The sequence below is a fragment of the Homo sapiens genome, chromosome 10 (genome assembly GCF_000001405.40).
Source record: "Homo sapiens chromosome 10, GRCh38.p14 Primary Assembly".
NCBI classification, from domain to species: domain Eukaryota; kingdom Metazoa; phylum Chordata; class Mammalia; order Primates; family Hominidae; genus Homo; species Homo sapiens.
The window spans coordinates 103900435-103920133 of NC_000010.11; the positions used below are offsets into that span (position 1 = coordinate 103900435).

Sequence of the window (19699 nt, forward strand, 5' to 3'; positions counted from 1 at the left end):
GGAACGGAGTCTAGACTGAGGTCCAGCGGGCAAGTTCCGACAGGCTCCAGGGCCTTCTTTCCTGCCCTGCATCACCAGTGCAGTCAAAGGGCTCTGCATGGCCTTGAGACAAATTCTGTACAATGAGTTCAGCTGGGCGTGGCAGCAATAGCTTTAAACAACCTTTCAAATGTCCTTGCGAGGAGACTTGTCCCATCTGAGTGCTCAACATCCCAATTTCTCACCTCTCATCTCTGTTGGGAAACTAGGCTAATCTCTCTGTCTCTCTCTCTCTCTCTCACACACACACACACACACTCTCTCTCTCTCTCACACTTTCTCCACTTTCTCTCTCTCATACCACTTAAAACTATAAACTCGAGCAACTTTATAATGAAAAAAACCCAATGTACACTCAATTCTAAATAACTTCTATCACTATTTTACTTCCAAATTGTATTAGTTAAGTAAGAAGAATCGTCACGAATGTCTGGGTACTATAGATGCTGTTCTAAGGAGTTTACAATGTATTAGCACATTTAGTCCTCACAACCACTCCTGCTCATTATTAGTCCCATTTTAGAGAGGAAACTGAGTCACAGAGAGGTCAAGCAACTTGCCCAAAGTAGAACAGCTAGTTAGAGACAAGGCTGGAGTTTGAACCCAGGCAGTCTCTAGCTCCAGAGCCATCCCACTTATCCTTTATTCTCTGCTGCCTGCCCCAGGAAGATACTCACATTTCCCAGTTACGGCTGGTGGGTGTAAAAGACTATGTATTCTGTTTTCCTGTCTAGCATAATTTCAAATACACATATGTATCCAAAGAAGCTACACAGCCAAGCATTTTATGTTTATTAGAGACAGGGTCTCACTATGTTGCCCAGGCTGGAATTGAACTCCTGGCCTCAAGCAATCCTCCCACCTCAGTCTCTTGAGTAGCTGGGATTATAGGTACAGTTTTATAAATTTTTACTTTCGTTTTTTTCACTAGCACTGTATGGGGGCAGTATAGCTCAGCCATCGGCATTTTGGCTACTGGAGTCAGAAAGACCTGACGTGAATCTCAGTTTACCTCCTACTAGCTGTGTAATCTTGGGCAGGCTGCTTAACCTGCTTAACCTCACTGTGCCTGTTTCCTTTCTACACTTACGCTTCGGTTTCCTCAATTATGAAATGGATATAACAGTAGAGTCTACCTCATACATAGAGTTGTTGTGCATTATCTAATTGAACACTTACATTCTGCACTTAGCACAATTCCATATTTATAGGAAATAATAAATGTAAGCTATTTGTGATAATGAATAATTAAACCTTCCAGAAAAAGTATCTTGTTTTTTGGGGGTCTTTCTTTGGAGATTATTACTGGATAAAAAATTACAAACTGGTTTACAGTTCATTACATATTGTCAGAATGCTTGCCAGAAAAAAATGATCAAATCTCTCTGTTTTTAGACAACATTGTCAGTAATGCATGCAGGCTCACAACTCCTACACCAGCTTCAGTCATTTGGATTTTTAATACCTTAAAAAATACATAATTATTCCGTACATCTTATTTTGCTTTTAAATTGCAGGAGAGGCTGTGTTTTTACACAAGATGATCTACTCTCTGTATTTCTTTATAGAGAAACCCTTCATCAAAATCAACCTAATATAATTTTGACAACTGTGGCTCTGTAATGTACAGAGGCATTAATTTTCCTTGAACACACCTACTATACCCAGGGAAACAGCAACATAGGGAGCACAGAGAACTCTGTGCATTCAGTGAGTCCAGGTAGGAACCTGGACGCAATCAGCATTACCGCTGCTCAGAGCTTACTGGGTTTCTTCAAAAAATCCCCAACTGCTACTTTTTCAAAAGTAGCAGTTCCTATCCCCAGGCCCTCTTCTACTTAGGCTGAATTTTAAAGGTATTTATAAATCTCATTGTCATTATGCAGACATTATAGGTGATAATAAATGCTTCACATAGCACCACTGAAATGATCAGACTGATGGTTGGTCTGAGAAAAAGAGGCCCACCTTTCACTTAAAGGGTGAGCCAAGTTGCCAAAAGGAGGCTCAAGCTGTGTAATTAAATGAATATAATGAGAAGACTGGAGCCTGACAGAACTTCACTTTCAGTGTCTATTCCATCATGAAAGATAAATCCCCTTTAACATTCGAATACTCAGGGCCAGGAAATCTTAACTTTGCTCATAAGCTAAGTCCAAATGGTACATTCAATGTGACATTTATGAAAGCTAATATTATATTCTTTTACTTTAACTGAGTGGAACATGATTTTGACTCAGACTAAATTTTGTTTAAAAAATTAGTCTTTGCTGGCCACCTTCCAATGGAAAGCTTTTAAACTAAGGGCAATTAAATTAAAAGGAGAGAATGGGCTAGTTGGGAACAATTTAAAGACGATGAGAATCATTTTTAGGTTTTCTCCTTCTACTCTTACCTTCTCGTTATATTTGCAAAGCAATCTTAAGGCTACCTACTGTGATTGTTCATCCATTCATCTACTTATTGATATTTTAAAAATCTGACTCTCAGTATTAATACCCATTTTGTTGATCTAAAAAATTACGAAGTATAAGAATTATATATTCCTGATGATGCTATTTCTTTAAAAAGAGTTAATTTTGAAAACTGAAACAATGACTAAAACAGGGGTCTGCAAACTATAGCCCATGGACCAAATCCATCCACAGCCTGTTTTTTAAAATAAAGTTTTATTGGAACACAGCCATGCCCATTTGCTTATGTACTACCTATGGTTACTTTCTGTTATAATGGCAGCGTTGAATAGTTGAGACACACAGACCATAGGGTGCACAAACAGAAAATATGGCCCTTTACAGAAAAACTTTGCTGACTCCCCATCTAGAACAAGTACGCATATTCAAACTACACCTTCTGACTGAAGATTGTGACAACAACCAAAAATCTGCAAATGATTTTAATACTGCTACAGTTTGACAAAAACAAGTTTCAATGTTTTTGTCCCCTCAAAATCTCATGTGTTAGAAATTTAACCCCCAATGCAACAGTGTTAGAAGATGGGGTCTAATGGGAGGTGTTTAGGTTATGAGAGCTCCACTCTCATGAATGAATTAAGGCCACTATAAAATGGGTTTGCAGAAGTGGTTCTCATTCTCACGCTCTTCTGCCATGTGAGGAACAGTTCTCCTCCCCTCTGGAGGATGAAGCATTCAAGGTGCCATCTTGGAGGGGAAACCCGGACCTCACCAGACACCAAAACTTTGATCTTGGAATTTCTGGCCTCCAGAACTATGAGAAATAAATTTCTTTCTTTATAAAATTACCCAGTCTTAGGTATTCTGTAACAGCAGCACAAAACAGATTAAGAAAAACACCTCAGACATACATAAAAATCCAGATACCTGATTGTCTCATAGGTTTATTTCTTGCCTATGAGGTATCTGCCTAAAAACACGTTGTCTCCCTTAAATCTATCTACAAACCTTCCTCACCAAAGCAATGCCATTGATTTAGATGTTCCCAAATTAGGAATTAGAATTCCAAAGTTACATGAAACTGATGGCCAAATTCTAAATGTAAATACATCAGAAAATTAAGCAAATGAGCATTCCATTGATCGGTATAGTCAAAGTACAAAGTTGAGATTCTGACACGTAATGGCAAAAAAGAAGAAACGACTCTAAGCACTAGATATTCTTACCATACATAATGCAAGTAGATAGATACTAGATGTTAGATATTAGAGCAGGCAGTGTTTACTGAATAACCCCACTGTGTATGGCACTATACTGTATATGTTGTAAAACACAGGAAAAACAAGGTTCCAGTTTTCAAAGCTTCTCTAGAACCAAAAACCATCACCAATATTGCACGATATTCTTTCATATTATGAACTTAAATTAAAAAATATCTAAAAATTAGGCCGGGTGTGGTGGCTCAAGCCTGTAATCCTAACACTTTGGGAGGCTGAGGCAGGAGGATCACTTGTGTCCAGGAGTTTGAGACCAGCCCTGGAAACATAGTGAGAACCTAACTTTAAAAAAAAAAAAAAGTATCTAAAAATTATTAAAATATATTCAAGCAACTCCAAATGTTGTTTCAGTTATAGTCAATGTATTCACTATACAATTTTAAAGTTCTTTTAATTTATATTACTTAATGGATAATTTCCAAAGGAATCCTATCTTACCTTCTCAGTCTTAGAATTCCTGGTATTATTTGTTTGAACACAGAGATTTTAGAAAATCTGGACCATGGCAGCACAGAAGTTAGTGGCAACCATGTGAGAGAAACAGTCTTCAAAATGTTCTTTGGTCAAGTGATATGGCTGGGACAAGGGGATTCAGACCTGACTTGCAATTAGGCTAAGACACCTTGACTTATGTAATAATGGGCATGGTAAAAATGAATTGCTGAAACTCCCTGTAACCTATTCACATTCTTGTAGGCTTAGGAAGCAGTGAGCACCAAAGAGATGGGAGAAAGAAAAGCAACTGGCTCTCCTATGGCATCAGTTTTCAGAGCAGCCAAAGCTCTGGGTATAGTGCTTCAGGTAGATCAATGTAACTCACCAGCAGATAAATGTGAAAATTTAGCCCTATAGCTGTTTTGATGAACTACATTGAGTAAAATCCATTAGTTAGGTGAAAAGTAAAGGAATGTGGCAAATAAAATTACCTGATACAGACTCAGTATTCAACTTTTTCCAGCAGATGCAGTTTATAACTCCAGTGCTGTCATCCACTGCAAGAGAAAAGCAAAAGGGTATAAGAGAGATTTGGGCAAGGCTGGTGAATTAGCATGCTGTCATTGCATTCAGCCATACTGAAAGATGACCTCTTTCAATAGCCTGGAGAAGCAAATCCCTTATCAAACTCTCCTTCCACCTTTGAAACAACCTCTCACTACATACGAGTATAAACTGCTTGTCTGCACAAGTCAATGTAATACACAAGCCCAGTGGGATATGGTCAGCATTTCACTTATCCTACCTCAAGGTACTAACGATTAGTACCCTCAAGGGTACCCTCATGATGCTGGTCTACACCTCTCTACTAAAAATGGTGGCCTTGGGAAGTTAAGTGCAAAAACTGAATGACTGCTCACATAGAAAATCAGCCTTTCTCTCCCACCCTGAAACAAGAGAGCATCGTGTGGAGTGTGGTTAGAGGCACAGGCACTTAGGGCGCAGCCTTCTGTCACAGTCTCTTTGCTAGTGTGCTGACTTCCCAAGACAAAGTGTTCCAAGTCATCTGGCCTGGGTTTCTCTTTGTGAAAGATCTTTTGCCCAGTCCTCACCACCGCAGGGGCTGTAAGGAAAGCCAAGCACATCACAGAAGGGCACCGTTTTATTTTCATTATAGAAAATAATTATATCCTGGCCACAAAAACAGTACTAGTCTGGCTTATGTTATTCCTGGCTTATCTCATTTTTGCAAAAAATCAAACAATTCCCATTGCAGTTATATTTACAACTACAGAGGAATTTGGAGATGTTTGCTAGGGAATAACAGGCATTTTCTCTTTGCCTAATTTCCGACAAACTCAGAACAGAGGTTGCTAAGCATGGGGTCAGTGGGTCTCTAAATTTAAAAAAAAATCATCAACTAGACTGTTGTAAAAGCACACACAATCCTGAAGAAATCTAAGGCAAAATTTGTTACTGCTGGCCTAAATCTATGCTGAAGAAAAAGCCAAAAAGAGTACTTCCTATACTAAAATAAATCCTAGATGGGTTTCATTTTATTAAATATAAAAAAGGTAAACTTAAGATGAGAAGAAGATATGGGTGAATACCTTTAACCCTGGACTTACAGTGGGTGGGGTGAGACTTCTTTAAGCAGAATCTTAAAATCAGAACTCATTAAAGAAAGTCTGATAAGTCTAACCACCTAAAAACTAATACTGGATAGCAATATTCCAAATGATAGGGTTAATGATTTAATATATAAAGAGCTCATAGGCTGGACATGGTGGCTCATGCCTATAATCCCAGCACTTTGGGAAGCCAAGGCAGGAGGATCACTTGAGCCTAGGAGTTTGAGACCAGCCTGGGCAACACAGGGAGACCCCGTCTCTACCAAAAAAAAATTTTTAAATTAGCCAGGCTTGGTGGTATGTGCCTGTAGTCCCAGCTACTTGGGAGGCTGAGGTGGGAGAATTGCTTGAGCCCAGGAGTTCAAGGCTGCAGTGAGCCATGATCATGCCACTGCACTCCAGCCTGGGCAACAGAATGAAACCTTGTTTCAAAAAATAAAAAATAAATAAAGAGCTCATATAAATTAATAAGAAAAAGATCAACATCACAAGAGAAAAAGTGGCAAAGAAAAGAATATGCGATTCATGGAAGATCTAAAAATGGCCAATAAAAATACATCAGTATAAGTTCACTAGTTACCATTAAGAAAAGCAAGTATACATAATTTATCAACAATGAAATTGACAAATATTAAAAATACTGATACCCTCATATGTCGATAGTGGGAGTATAAATTAGTAACACATTTCTAAAATTTAAATCTTAATGAGCAAGTTTGTAAACAGGCATCGGATTGTGAAATGTAAGCCAGGTGCGGTGGCACATGCCTGCTACTTGGGGGGCTGAGGCAGGATTGCTTGAGTCCAAGAGTTTGGGGCTGCAGTGTGCTATGATTGTGCCTGTGATAGCCACTGCACTCCAGCCTGGGCAACACAGTGAGACCCTGCCTCTTAAAAAAAGTTGTTTTTAAATGTATATATCCTTTGACTTAACAATTACTTCCAGATAAAACAAAAACAAGTACACAGATACATACATCTATGTAAGGCTGTTCACTGTAGTATTCTTTATAATACTGACACTTGGAAATACCTAAATGTTTATAAATATGGAATTGGTTAAAAAAATTACAATGACGTAGTATATGAGAATAAAAAGATATACATGGCTCATTGTAAAATAGAAATATATAATCCAATTTATGTGCAACATTAAACAGTGTATTTTGACAGAAATGATTTTAAGACTTTAAATACTAAGAGCAGTTTCTCTTGGAGTGTGGGGAAGGAACCCCACATTCAATGTATACGTTGACTGTAAGCCTAATTTCAGAAACACTGAGAAATAAATATGCATAATAGTACTAAGGAAATAGGCATTTCTATATTTCTTTGATACTGGGAACATGTTTAGAATGAGGAAGGATGTTCACCCAAACACTGACATTGTTTTGCCTGATTTATAGTGTTTCATATGATTTTTATATACTTCATTAAAATTATCTCTAGTTTGAAATTTTATTTTATAATGAGTAAATACCATTTTAAGAATCCAAAAAATGAATAAGGACATTTTGCGTTAAAAAAATGCATGGCACTTCCAGGCACACCACTTCTCTGTAGGTGAAAAGCTTGATTTATAGTATAATAGAAAGTTAAAAAAAAAAAAATTAGCAGGCCAGGAGCAGTGGCTCACGCCTGTAATCTCAGCACTTTGGGAGGCCGAGGTGGGCAGATCACTTGAGGCCAGGAGTTCGAGACCAGCCTGGCCAACATGGTGAAACTACAACTCTACTAAAAATACAAAAATTAGCTGGGTGTGGTGGTAAGCACCTGTAGTCCCAGCTACTCAGAAGGCTGAGGCAGGAGAATCACTTGAACCCGGGAGGCGGGGGTTGCAGTGAGCCAAGATCACACCACTGCACTCCAGCGTGGGCCACAGAGCGAGACTCCATCTCAAAAAAAAAAAAAAAATTAGCACATGAACATTTGTCCTAGAGAATGCGAGGTCATTCTGGTCTTGACTGTAGCCTTCCAATATTCTAGGTCTAAGCTCGAGTTGCTACCAAGTGTTCTGTGCACTCTGGGCACTGTCACCAACCCCCGGACTTCCCAGTTTGTGACCTCTCCCAGCAGACCCTGTGCCTTGGTGCCCAGAGGTCTGGCTGCTGGAATGCCCCTGAATGGAGGCACCCTTGCAGTGCTGCACAATGTCCTCAGCAGCTACACAGTACCGCCTGGGCCGCTGGCCTTGTTTCAGCTGCGGGATGAGTCAGTGCGAGCAGGAAGCACCCCCAGCACAGGCCTGCGGTGAGTCAGGGGAAGCAGAACCCAGAACAGCAGGGAGCGGCCACCTGGCAGATGGCCCAAAAGCCATATTGTGCCTGAGGACAGCAAGGAGAGGGGCAGTTCTCCACAAGAATTAAAGTTGCAAAAGCCTCTCTACTCTCAATAATTTCAGCAGTCAGATGCTTTTTATTTTCCCAAAGCCCACAGATGTTTCATGCTCCTCAGACACTCACTCAGAGGGAAATGCTTACTGGAGAAGAGGCAATCATAGTGCCTTAATCTTTTTATAATGGGAAAAGAGGTTAAGTGAAGCTCCTTTAGACACAGGCTTAATATCTAGCCTGGTTCTAGGGCCAGGATTTTAAAGTCCTCAAACAGTCTCATTTATTTGATCTGAAAAACAGAAAACTAAAAATCAAATGCAGTTAATTTTTTTTTTTTTGGTGGGTGGGGGATGGAAGAAAGGAGGAGGAGAGAAAAATCAAACTGAGTTATATGGAGACCACAGAACACACTGGAGTCAGTAAACAGAATGGACCCACAAATCTCCATCAGTGGAATCTTGAGTAAGTTACTAAGCCTTAGTTTTCTCATCTACAAAATGGAAATAATACCTGTACTTTCTGTTTCAAAAGACTAGAGGGAGAATAATATGAAATTATGCATATAAAAGTGCTTTACAAACTGAAAGACGCTATTATTTCGTTGTTGGCATTTGGAGAGGAAGCACTGTACTATATACCACAGTGTACTGCCCATAGCTGGATACACTGTAGGAACTTAGTAAATATTTGTTGAGTTGTCTGGAGAAAAAAAGGACCAATATCTTTGGTAAAATAAAGCAGAGAAGAGATTCAGTATGGGAATTTCTGACAGGATGATCCTTTTCAGAATCAAAAAAAAAAAATATATATATATATGTATATATATGTATATATGTATATATATGTATATATGTATATATGTATATATATGTATATATATGTATATATGTATATATGTATATATATGTATATATGTATATATATGTGTGTGTGTATATGTATATATGTATATATGTATATATATGTACATATATATGTACATATATATATGCTGAGAAAAAGCAGAAAAAATAAGCTTTTATTTTTCACATGTTATTTTATTAAAAGCACAAGATAATACTCTTCAGGAAAATGAATACATGTAAAGAAATGCAATAATATTGTATCTACAAATTATCAATCATGCAGGGACTGCCAATGAAACGCTCTTGGTCACAAAGTTCAACTGCCTTCTATCTTTCCTCAAGAAGAGTAAGAATACAAATCCAAGGCACAGCACAAAAAGTGACAATGTCAATTTCAGCAAAGGTTTGGAATTTAAAGTTAAGTTTCCCACAAAATATCTAGCTTGGGCTCTTGATTATAGAGAAGCTTGGAGTTGTACAAGGCAATGTATTAAATGCTTAAAAATCAACTCAATGAAAAAAGAAAGACCTATTACACTAAAATCACATTTGAGCAATTCTCTGGTGTCCAAAATATAGAAACCCTTTATTAAGCTTCCATCATGAGGGAAAATAAACTTTCTGATAATGGGTATTTACCCCTTTGGGTATCAAAAGGCTTTTTGTTAACTGTTCTGGATATAAATATTTTAAAATTATTTTTCACATCTTCCTGTGTTGTTAAAGAATCTACTTTAACATTAATCTGGTCTTCGCTTTTTAAAGTGATCCACATAACCACATATTACCACGCTTTGCTATTTACAGATATACCCTTTGGCATCAGGTGCCCCCCTGCCCGTCCATCGATGCTCATAGGGGGCTGTATTTTAATTCTTCCACTTCTTAGCACCTCAGCAGCTGTCACTTCACTGAATTCATCAGTATCATTCCTACCCGTTGCCTCATTTTATTCTTAGCCCGTGTCTGGGGCTATAAGGGGCACCCCATAGAGAAAGTACATGCCCTTAGTGAGGGTCCCCAGCTACTCTAAATGGCTGGGGCTGCTGAAATCCAACTTTCAGCCCAGAAGGGTCAGCCTTCTACATCAACTTCATTTCAGACACAATTGTTCTTACCTCCATAACTGTAGAAAGCATCTCTTTCTCTCACTCCAATGACAGTTCCCAAGACATCTACCTGTTTTATTGGATGTCCATTGTACAAAAATACACCTAAAATTTAAAAAAAGCAAAGTCGACATAATGTATGATTACATTTTCTGCTTCAATAAATCTTAACTTGTAGGGGGGAAGGGAGTGTAAAAAAATCAATCCATGCTGTTTGCTGAAATTCTAGACTTAAGAATCAGTCCTTGACAAATGACAACGCCCCAAGAAATTCCAATGTCTTTTCCTCACAGGTCCTAAGTAGAAAGCTTGGCATTAAAGCTTGCACTAGACGGGAGAAAACCAACGCTGTCCAACTAGATTTGGTTAATGCACCCTGTTCTGAATGCTCACAAGGGGCCTGAAAACAGTCATTATACTGGGGGACCAAACACAGGACTATATTTGAAGCAACTAGAAGGAAAGAGAGAGGAAACCATGAGAAAGGCTTCTTTGGCTTTTTTTTTTTTTCAAACAAGTGCTTTTCTAAGAAACCAGTCATGATTTCTTTGAACTGGCAATAGCATTTTTTTTAAAAAAAAACAGTAAGTAGGTTACAAAACGCTACCCTTTGGGGCCAGGTTACAACCCCAAAACTTCTCTTTTTAAAACTCTGTTTTCAAAACCTAGGCTACAGATGGTGGCAGGCAACTTCCTGCCAGAGGAGAAAGCTGAGAGGGGGAACCTACCCACTGATACCCAGAGGCTTTTTTCTGACTTGGGGCCAGGACACAGAGGGGCTGCTCAGAGCAGGGAGTCCCTGATGGTCCCAGGGCTGTCCTGGCTCCTGCAGGTCTTCCCTTCTGCCTGTCCCCCAATAACCTAACCCGAGCTCCCCACTTCACCTTAAGCTACACGCACTGTGTTCCTGTCACCTGCAGCTAAAGAGTCCTGCCCAATCTCTTTTCCAGCCTCTTCCCCCCGCCCCCATGACGGCTAAATTCTTTACTTTCAGAAACAGGTTATAAACTTTCATATGGTGATTTCCTTTTTCTTTTTTTTAAATTAGACATGGGCATCTCACTTTGTTGCCCAGGCTGGTCTTGAACTCCCGGCCTCAAGCGATCCTCCCACCTTGGTGTCTCAAAGTGCTGGGAGCCACCACACCCAGTCAAGTCCTTTTTAAAATAAATATACGAATTCTAAATTAAGAAACAATGATCACCTCAGGCATTTGGCCATTCTTCCCCTCACATCAAGCATAGTCACAGCTTCTATTCTGTCCATTCATGGGGGGACCTGTGGCCTGAATCCCGACGCCCCTTATAACCCCCAGACTGGCCTCTGCTGATGGCTCTGTTTCCCTTGTAGACAAAGGGACTGAGAAAGAGTCCAAAGAATGAACAAGGAGCTTCTAAGCCTCAGTTACAGAGAGACACCAAGGGAGTGAGACGTGGTTTTAAGAAATAAGAGGTGGCAAATTTAGCCAAAAGCAAGACCCTCTCCCTCCACAGAGGCACGCTTCAAGAGATAACCTGGTGGTTGGAGATTGTCCTCAGGACCACCTTGCAGGCATGAGCTGAAGATGGCAGGAACAAGGAGGGAAGGAGCCTGGGTCACTGTGTCACCCCCAAAAAGAGAGTCACCTCCATCCAGGAAAACTTGGATTGAATGGAGACAAAGTGGTTCCAGTCTCAACTCCTGGTCTCAAGCAGAAGCCCAACTAATTTTTAAAATTTTTCATAGAGATGGGGTCTCTCCCTGTCGCCCATGCTGGCCTCAAACTCTTGGCCTCCCAAAGCACTAGAATTATAGGTGTGAGCCACTGCACCCAGGCCATAAAATTTTAAGATGTAGCCAGTTCCAACTGGCTTCTCCCAAGTTCTCACAATTGAAACTTAGTCTTTTCCATAACACCATTGATGAGATCTTCAGTCCCCTGCCCCTGCCTGCCTGCACTGACCAAACGCAAAAGGATAGGGAGCCTGCAGAGAAGGGAGATCCCTGTGTCCTGTGTAGTCAAGGGCAGGCTTCCTTATGGCAGAAGCAAACTTTAAACTAGGAAAATGAGCCTCACCCAGGGATGCCCTCTACTGCCGTACACCCCACCACTCAGCCTTGGAGTGCCTGTGTGCAGAGCAGGGCTGAGGCATGGTGCTGCTTTGGTGGTCTAGGTTTGCTGCAGGGCCAGGTGGCCTGAGCTCCAGGCAGGATCTCTGGCTGCACTCAGCCCTTTCTGCCTCCCCAAATGCTCTATATCACTATTTGTACACTGAGCAGAGTAAAGTTAGAGAGAACTGTTTTATAGAATAGGGCTGGCCCCCGCTCCCCTGGCCTACGTGATGGTCCTTCCTGGCTGCCAGGTACTTGTTTGTATTAGAGACAGACACTCCACAGGGTCTGTTGTGGCCCACAGCACATAGGCAATCAGAGGCAGAAAGCAGAGCTGTTTGGACCCACAGAGGGCCGGCTGTCTGCCACTGAAATGTCTTTCCAGTTGGTTGAGAAGCAGCAGGATGCTCTGCTGGTGATGTCTGAAAGTCCCAGGATTCTTTGGGTCTCCAAGGAGATCCTAGCATATACCACTGTCGTGGTTTTAATAAAGAGCAAAAACACTTTCAGATGGGGAGAAGAGTGGAACAAAAGGTATTCTTCCTGGGTTGAAGTCTGGGGGAAAGGCATTGAGAAGACTGGGCTAATGGCACAAACCAATGAAGTACTCAAGTCACCTGTGATGGAGGCCAGTCATCCAATGGTATCAACTTTGTATGTGGCAACACTTAATAAAAATCTGAACAGGTCTTCACTTGTGGACACAGTAGACTTTCTTGAAAAAGGACAGAAAAGTGAGCCCTGTGAATTTTCATCTCACGGACTGACAACAATGACTTGCCTTTAAGGACAGTCACTCAAGATGAAGATGCAACAAAACCCTTCCAGTTCCAAGTGGCTGATGAAAAAAAAAAAATCTTAAAAGCATCACAGAACAACGGAGAAAGAGATCAGAAGACTATAACAGATAGTTTGAATTTTAAAACTCAGAGAAAAGCAACTGAGGAGGAAATACACTGCTTAGAAAGAAGAAACTTCTCCAAGTATATAGAAACGTGAACTATACGTATCAGATGCACAGCATCTACAAAAAGATGGCTGAAGACATGGAAAAAAGAATTAGAGAGCCATTTTCTTGTATCAAAGTGATCTTCTATAAGAAGAGAGCTCAGGAAAGTTGGATGGCTGCTCTGTCAACTGAGAGAAAGCTTAATGAACTAAGAAAAGAAAATGGTAACAAATACTAGATAACAGAGCTCATGTTCCAGCCTTTCCCAAGGCCCTTGTGTTCCTGCTGTTCCACATGCAGCCCACAGAGGCCTAAAAGCATCAGAGGACCCCCTGGATCATCAGGCCCCCAAGAAGGAGGAGGGTCAAGCTATAAGGGTTCAGGGATCTAGGGTCACAGGCAGGTTGACTCGGATTTCAAGCAGCCAACCCTGAACATCCACAACCACAGCAAGACATTTGACTGTTTTCTCTTTTTAAAAGTACTTTTGATTGCTCTCTTTTTAGTTTAACTGCTGTTATTTAATCGATGCTATGTTATTTATGTTTGACAGCATTAAAACACCTAAGATAATCTTTTTCAACCAGATTTAATATAATTCTTATGAATATATTATTTCCACTTCATTGTACCCACTAGAATAATAGGATAAGTATTATATGCTGATTTAAATAAAAGAGTCACTATTATTTAACCCATCATTAAAGTTTGACATGGATAGAGATATTTAAAACAATAAATACGACTTCTGTATGTTATGAGCTATTATTAAAAATACATATATATATATATATATATATATATATATATATATATATTTTTTTTTTTTTTTTTTGAGACAGGGTCTTGCTCTGTTGTCCAGACTGGAAGGCAGTGGTACAATCACAGCTTACTGCAGCCTTGACCTTCCAGGCTAAAGTGATTCTCCCACCTCAGCCTCCTGACTAACTGGGACCATAGGTACTGCTTTTTAAAACTCAGACACGGGGTCTCACTTTGTTGCCCAGGCTGGTCTTGAACTCTGGGCTCAAGTGATCCTCCCGCCTTGGCCTCCCAAAGTGCTGGGATTACAGGCATGAGCCACTGTACCTGGGATACTTTTTTTTTAATGCAAAAAAAACCCAAAAACAAAACAAAACAAAAAGAACCCACACAAATCTAAATACCACCACAATCAAATTTCACAGTATTTTTCTTAGTTCAACTCTAAATTCAAATTTTGAGGAGCTGACGTTTTGCAATCATTTTGCAATGCAATTCTGATGCTAACTACTCAAAGATAGGTTAAATTTCACAGGTGAAGGGCACAGTCCCCAACAATACTGCCCTCATTTGAGTCATGAGTCCCAAGTTTTGTGAGAGTCCTCAGGCCAACTGCACTTCTGACCAACTGGTTATAAATTTGGGGGTCCCCAACACTCCCTCAGGTTTGATAATTTGCTAGAATGACTCACAGGACTCAGGAAGGTGCTATACTTATGATTATAGTTTTATCCATGAAGGATCCAAATCAGGGCCAGCCAAATGAAGAGATGCTAAGGCAGGGTCTGGGAGGGCACAAACACAAAGCTTCTGTGTCCTTGACACCTTGCCCCCTGACACACCAACACATGATTATCAACTAGGGAAGCTCATCTGACCCTCAGTGTCCAGAGTTTTTACTGAGGTCTCATAAGGTAGGCACAATTAACTGAATGATTGGCCACATAACTGAACTCAATCTCCAGCCCCACTCCCTTCCCAAAGGGTCAGACTGATATGATCTGGCTCAAAACCCCCAACTCTCTAATTGAACAGTTGGTCTTTTAGGCATAGACAGCCCCACCCCAAACTATCTAGGGATCCAGCATGAACCACCTGATTCGCATAAATTCAAGTGTGGTTCGAGAGGGCACCATGAATAATGATGACGCTCCTATCACTCAGGAAACTATAATAATTTAGATGTTACCCTGCAGGAACCAAGGGCAAAGGTCAGTGAAATTCTTTATCACACAACACATTCATTTCATATTTTATCATTTTTGGGGTTTGTCTTTGTTATTTTGTTTAAGATATTCTTTGCTGTTTAAACAATCCTAAATTTTATGTAGTCAAAAGTTTTGCCTTTATAGTAAATGGAACCAAACACAACAACAAAACAAAAACCTAGGAGTGGAATTCCCCACCCCCCAGAACACTATGGTATAGTCTAAAGCAGTGGTCCCCAACCTTTTTGACACCGGTTTTGTAGAAGACAATTTTTCCGGGGATGGGGGTTGGGGGAACGGTTTGGGGATGAAACTGTTCCACCTCAGATCATGAGGCATTAGATTATCCTAAGGAGTGTGCAACTAGATCCCTCACACGTGCAGTTCACAATAAGGTTTGCGCTCCTAAAAGAATGTAATGCCGCTGCTGATGTGACAGGATGTGGGGCTCAGGCAGTAATGCTCACTGGCCAACCACTCACTTCCTGCTGTGTGGCCCAGTTCCTAATGGCCATGTACCAGTAGTGGTCTGTGGTCCCAGGGGTTGGGGGCCCCAGGTCTAAAAGTATCCAATCTGTCAGCTGATGTCTGCTTTAACCGTGAGGTTTCATTTTTAAAACACCTTGGAAACATTCTCACCAGTGATAAATCAAAGATCACTGGTCCTGTTTTTGTTGGTTTGTTTTTAACACATCATAAAGTCTTTTGCCTACAGGTAGAGTTAAGCCCCTGTCATGTCCTTGGTACCTGTTTTCTCACCTGCAGAAGATCATTAAGCAAGGCTAGAATTTGGTGTGAATTAATTTCTTCCTGAAGAGATGAGCTATGAAGAAAACCAGACTGGAAAATGGAAAACTGTGGAGGAGGTTGGCTGCCTTCCAAGGGAAAACACAGACCATTTCCAACAATAATTAGGAAATAAAGGTGTGGCGAAAAATCTGTACAAAAGGCATTAGCATAAGGTCATCCAAATATATTTGTACATTTAACTGGAAACAAACAAAACCTTATCTCATTAAAACTGTGGATGCTTGAGATTCTTGACTACTTCTAACTCATAGTTTGTTATTCAGAAGGACCTTGACTGGAAAGCTTCACTCAAAATAGCAAAGAAAGTTTAACCAAACTTCTCAAATAGCACAGTAAACATGTGGCTATTTGTGAATTATTACACAGCTACGTGAATTATTTAAATCCACCCCAAACTATACTTGTTATATTTTTAGGTAAGATAAGCCTATCTCTAGTAGCCACTATTCTAATACAAAAAAAAAAAAAGAAAATTTAAACTTTACATGTATAATGCCTTGTTGCTTCAACTGCTATTTCTATTTGAGGGCCCACTATATGCCAGGCACTGTTCTAAGCCCTGGGATTACAAAGGTGAACAAGACAGATGATGTTCTTCCTCTCAGGGAGTTTATAATATTTTGATTCTGCTTAATTCAAAAGAAAACAAACCCCCTTTACATATCAGGAATCAAAAGATTCCATTACACAGGGTTAAGCTCCATTTTTACAAAGAAACCCAGACTTTGCAGAAGGTGAGTCACATGCCCGGACCAGGTAAGTGGCACATTTAGGAAAGGAGCCAGGCCTAGGAATATCTGGCCCAGCGATCTCTCCAACAGGAGCAGGGCCAAAGAAAAACAAATGAGCATTTTTAAGCATGAAAGACCCTAAATGGAGGTAAAAACCCCAGTACAAAAGTTACTCCCCCAAACACCTACTAAAAAAAAAAAAAAAAAAAAAAAGATTTAGACTGTTTTTTTTACCTTGCAAATAAATGAACTCATGCGAAGGTCCAGGCTAGGTCCCTTTCAAAGCCTGCAGCAGGGAAGGCTCTCCTAAAAGCCTCTAATCCCAGCTTTCTGAGACTTTGGGAAAGGGTGGCAGATGCAGCCCAGGGCATCCCAGGGTGGCTAGCCACATACCTGGCACCTGGCGGGACTCCTTCATGTCCAGGATATCCCTGATGTAGAGTTTTGCAAAGGCTAGAAACACAGGATCCAAACCCCACAAGAGGGAAGGGGTCTCCTCTTCACACCGGCTGGATCCAGGCTGCATCAAGAGGCAGGGCTGTGGCTTCCAGCTAACTCTGAAAGGTTCTGCATCACTGAGTCAAGCATCTAGATGGGACACAGAAATGAGGATGCAATGCGTTTAACGTGGGTCAAAGTGGCACGGCCCTGACGCTGCTCCCAGGTGGGCGTCCAGGACTCCAGGAGGGGTGAACGCAGGGATCCAGGGCCCTGTCAAACTCCATGCCACGGGGCGTGTTAAGAGGCGTTCCTCACGTCAGGACGCCTGCGTTCCTTACGGCTCTCCCGCTGTTCTCCTTCCCACAAAGCACCAACTTCGGAACGGCTAAACATCAACTTTCACTCTGGGAAGATACGTCTGTACAGGCGTAGCAGAAACCGCTTGGGGTCCCGGGAGGAACGGGCGCCCTCGCAGCCCTGCACGTGTTGGGGCATAGTGGATGGGTCTGACTGTCGCTCTGCCCTAAACTTTCCGCTTTTGGGGATGAGCCAAGAAAAGGAGGAAAAAAGATACTAAAAAATGGACCCACTTGTAGCCCCTCCCGCCGCCTGCAGCTCCAGGAGCCCTGAGACCTGGCCCTTCCGGCGCTCGGAGCCGCTGGCGGCGACGACCCCGCCCGGCGCAGGAGCAGTTGGCTGAGGTCGTCTCTGGAGTTCCGGCCTGAGCCCGCCCCCTGCCCCGCCAGGGACCAACCCCGGTCTCCCCGCCAGCGCATTTCCTTTCTGCTGCAGCGCCTCGCCACGGCTCCGCCCCATCTCTCCCGAAGTCCCGCCTCATCCCACCCAGACCCCACCCATCCCGCCGCGGCCACGCCCCATCCTGCCCGAAGCCCCGCCCCATCCCGCCCGAAGCCCCGCCCCATCCCGCCGCGGCCCAACCATCCGCTAGGCCCCATCCAGCCGAAGTCCAGCCCGTTCCGTGCCCCGCCTCAGCGCAGCGTACTTTTGGTTCAGGCAGCGCTGCAGCCCCGCCTTCGTGCTAGCCTCCACCGCTGAGGCCTAGGAGGCGACCTTGAAATTCCTGCAGTTCTAACGCCGCTCTTCTAGTCACCTTTCACCCCTCCTCCTGCTGGTGGCGGGACCCTGAACCTGGGCCTCCTAGAGGTTGGGTCAGGATCAGACTATTTTTCTTTTTGATTCCTGATATGTAAAACAGATAAAAAGTAAGCAGTGCCACGAGTGCATTGTGGCATATTTTAAATGTTCATTTACAGTTGGTAAGTGACCTGACTCACACACTTAGGACTCTAGTTTCACTTGGAGATGTCAATATCTAAATTTGAGCCCTCGAGTGAATGTGAGGTCTTGACTCTGCCAGAGACTAGCCGTGCAAAATCATGACAATACATTTTGTCTCCTTTACCCTTGTTCGGTCTACAGTCTGGAAGGTTGTACACTTAAGAACTTTGAAAAGCTGGCATTTTGGTAAATCATGGCCACCTTGATGGTGCTTAGTCTCCAGAATTTCTATTTTAAAGTGAGGAAAGATAGCCACGTTCCACTCCCATAAAGAGCTACGTTACCCGAGACGTCAGGAATTCTTCCTAATTTACAGAGACTCTGGAAAATGGCAGGGGAGTACAGATCACCCTGGCAGACCATTCCCGGGGGAGGCAGGTGGTGGCCAAAGAGATAATTGCTAAACTATTTATCAGAGAAGGAACTTGGAGCCGCTGGAATGGAAAGTGTGTGTGTCATTAGACCCATGGCATTTAATTACCTCCCCGGCCATTTAAGAAGCTCAAAAACAAGAGTCCTTGGTAAAATACATTGCCCAGATTCTACTGCAATGAACACTAGGAAATGTAGGGTTTAAGATTTAATTAAGAGAAGACACTGGCTGGGCGCGGTGGCTCACACCTGTAATCCCAACATTTTGTGAGGCCGAGGCGGGCAGATCACGAGGTCAGGAGTTCAAGACCAGGCAGGCCAATATACGGAAACCAACCCCCTCTCTACTAAAAATACAAAAATAGCCAAATGTGGTGGCGTGCGCCTGTAATCCCAGCTACTCGGGAGGCTGAGGCAGGAGAATCGCATGAACCTGGGAGACAGCGGTTGCAGTGAGCTGAGATCGGGCCATTGCACTCCAGCCTGGGTGACAGTGTGAGACTCTGCCTCAATTAAAAAAAAAAAAAAAAAAAGAGAGAGAGAGAAGATACCTTCTCTTATAGGAGGAAGGCCCTTGCAAAGAAAACACACCCAGTAGGACAGGTGCTTCCTGCTGACCTGTCAGATGGGGAGAGACAGGTTGAGTGACATTTTCCTGACTGTACACATCTGCTCCAGGGTGAAACCCAAAGGAGGAAATCACTACTAAGTGTCAGAGCCTGAGATGATTTCAGGAATAATGCTCATGGCGCTCAAGGGTAGAGTGTTGGATAAAAGAGCCCTCCTGGACTCCATGCTTACTGCCAGCCTTGGGAAGGACCACACCCAGGTGGTATAAGCAGAGCAGAATGTCCCAATGTCATCTTTTACAATGAAGGGAGGACTCCTTGGAGTCTAAGGGTGTTCCTTTTGATCTGAGCCCCAAACCTGAAGGAGTAGGTTGTAACTGAAAC

The 19699-nt window shown here is 42.1% G+C and overlaps 1 protein-coding gene across 1 annotated transcript in view, besides 9 other annotated features; it reads right to left on the minus strand.

The window, feature by feature from the left end:
* The window catches only part of STN1 (STN1 subunit of CST complex), a 40616-nt gene extending 22866 nt beyond the window's left edge, over window positions 1-17750 (minus strand). Inside the window, exons 1-4 of the mRNA NM_024928.5 lie at window positions 17666-17750; window positions 17028-17222; window positions 10093-10188; window positions 4657-4722 (exon numbers count right to left, since the gene is read on the minus strand). Coding sequence (NP_079204.2) covers window positions 4657-4722; window positions 10093-10188; window positions 17028-17160 — 295 coding nt within the window. The 5' untranslated portion in view covers window positions 17161-17222; window positions 17666-17750. The remainder of the gene's footprint in view (window positions 1-4656; window positions 4723-10092; window positions 10189-17027; window positions 17223-17665) is intronic.
* Window positions 7269-7870: an enhancer, noted in NCBI's record as "OCT4-NANOG-H3K27ac-H3K4me1 hESC enhancer chr10:105667461-105668062 (GRCh37/hg19 assembly coordinates)". NCBI's record gives its function as "activates a minimal SCP1, AML or CMV promoter by ChIP-STARR-seq in naive H9 embryonic stem cells {active_cell/tissue: H9 hESC(naive)}" and the evidence as "EXISTENCE:reporter gene assay evidence [ECO:0000049][PMID:30033119]".
* Window positions 7734-7863: an enhancer, noted in NCBI's record as "active region_3975". NCBI's record gives its function as "activates an Ori minimal core promoter by ATAC-STARR-seq in GM12878 lymphoblastoid cells {active_cell/tissue: GM12878}" and the evidence as "EXISTENCE:reporter gene assay evidence [ECO:0000049][PMID:35858748]".
* Window positions 7915-8059: an enhancer, noted in NCBI's record as "145 bp 10:105668179 sequence used in MPRA reporter constructs". NCBI's record gives its function as "activates a minimal TATA-containing promoter with rs35176048 allelic activity by MPRAs in C283T melanocytes and UACC903 melanoma cells {active_cell/tissue: C283T | UACC903}" and the evidence as "EXISTENCE:reporter gene assay evidence [ECO:0000049][PMID:36423637]".
* Window positions 7987-7989: a transcriptional cis regulatory region, noted in NCBI's record as "rs35176048 or 10:105668179 MPRA-significant variant associated with a GWAS melanoma risk locus at 10q24.33". NCBI's record gives its function as "allelic transcriptional activity by MPRAs in C283T melanocytes and UACC903 melanoma cells {active_cell/tissue: C283T | UACC903}" and the evidence as "EXISTENCE:reporter gene assay evidence [ECO:0000049][PMID:36423637]".
* Window positions 17212-17541: an enhancer, noted in NCBI's record as "active region_3976". NCBI's record gives its function as "activates an Ori minimal core promoter by ATAC-STARR-seq in GM12878 lymphoblastoid cells {active_cell/tissue: GM12878}" and the evidence as "EXISTENCE:reporter gene assay evidence [ECO:0000049][PMID:35858748]".
* Window positions 17212-18061: a biological region, named in NCBI's record as "H3K27ac-H3K4me1 hESC enhancer GRCh37_chr10:105677593-105678238".
* Window positions 17401-18046: an enhancer, noted in NCBI's record as "H3K27ac-H3K4me1 hESC enhancer chr10:105677593-105678238 (GRCh37/hg19 assembly coordinates)". NCBI's record gives its function as "activates a minimal SCP1, AML or CMV promoter by ChIP-STARR-seq in primed H9 embryonic stem cells {active_cell/tissue: H9 hESC(primed)}" and the evidence as "EXISTENCE:reporter gene assay evidence [ECO:0000049][PMID:30033119]".
* Window positions 17677-17971: an enhancer, noted in NCBI's record as "tiled region #190; HepG2 Activating DNase unmatched - State 1:Tss, and K562 Activating DNase unmatched - State 8:EnhW". NCBI's record gives its function as "activates a minimal TATA promoter and a strong SV40 promoter by Sharpr-MPRA in HepG2 cells, with weaker activation in K562 cells {active_cell/tissue: HepG2 | K562}" and the evidence as "EXISTENCE:reporter gene assay evidence [ECO:0000049][PMID:27701403]".
* Window positions 17712-18061: a silencer, noted in NCBI's record as "silent region_2791". NCBI's record gives its function as "represses an Ori minimal core promoter by ATAC-STARR-seq in GM12878 lymphoblastoid cells {active_cell/tissue: GM12878}" and the evidence as "EXISTENCE:reporter gene assay evidence [ECO:0000049][PMID:35858748]".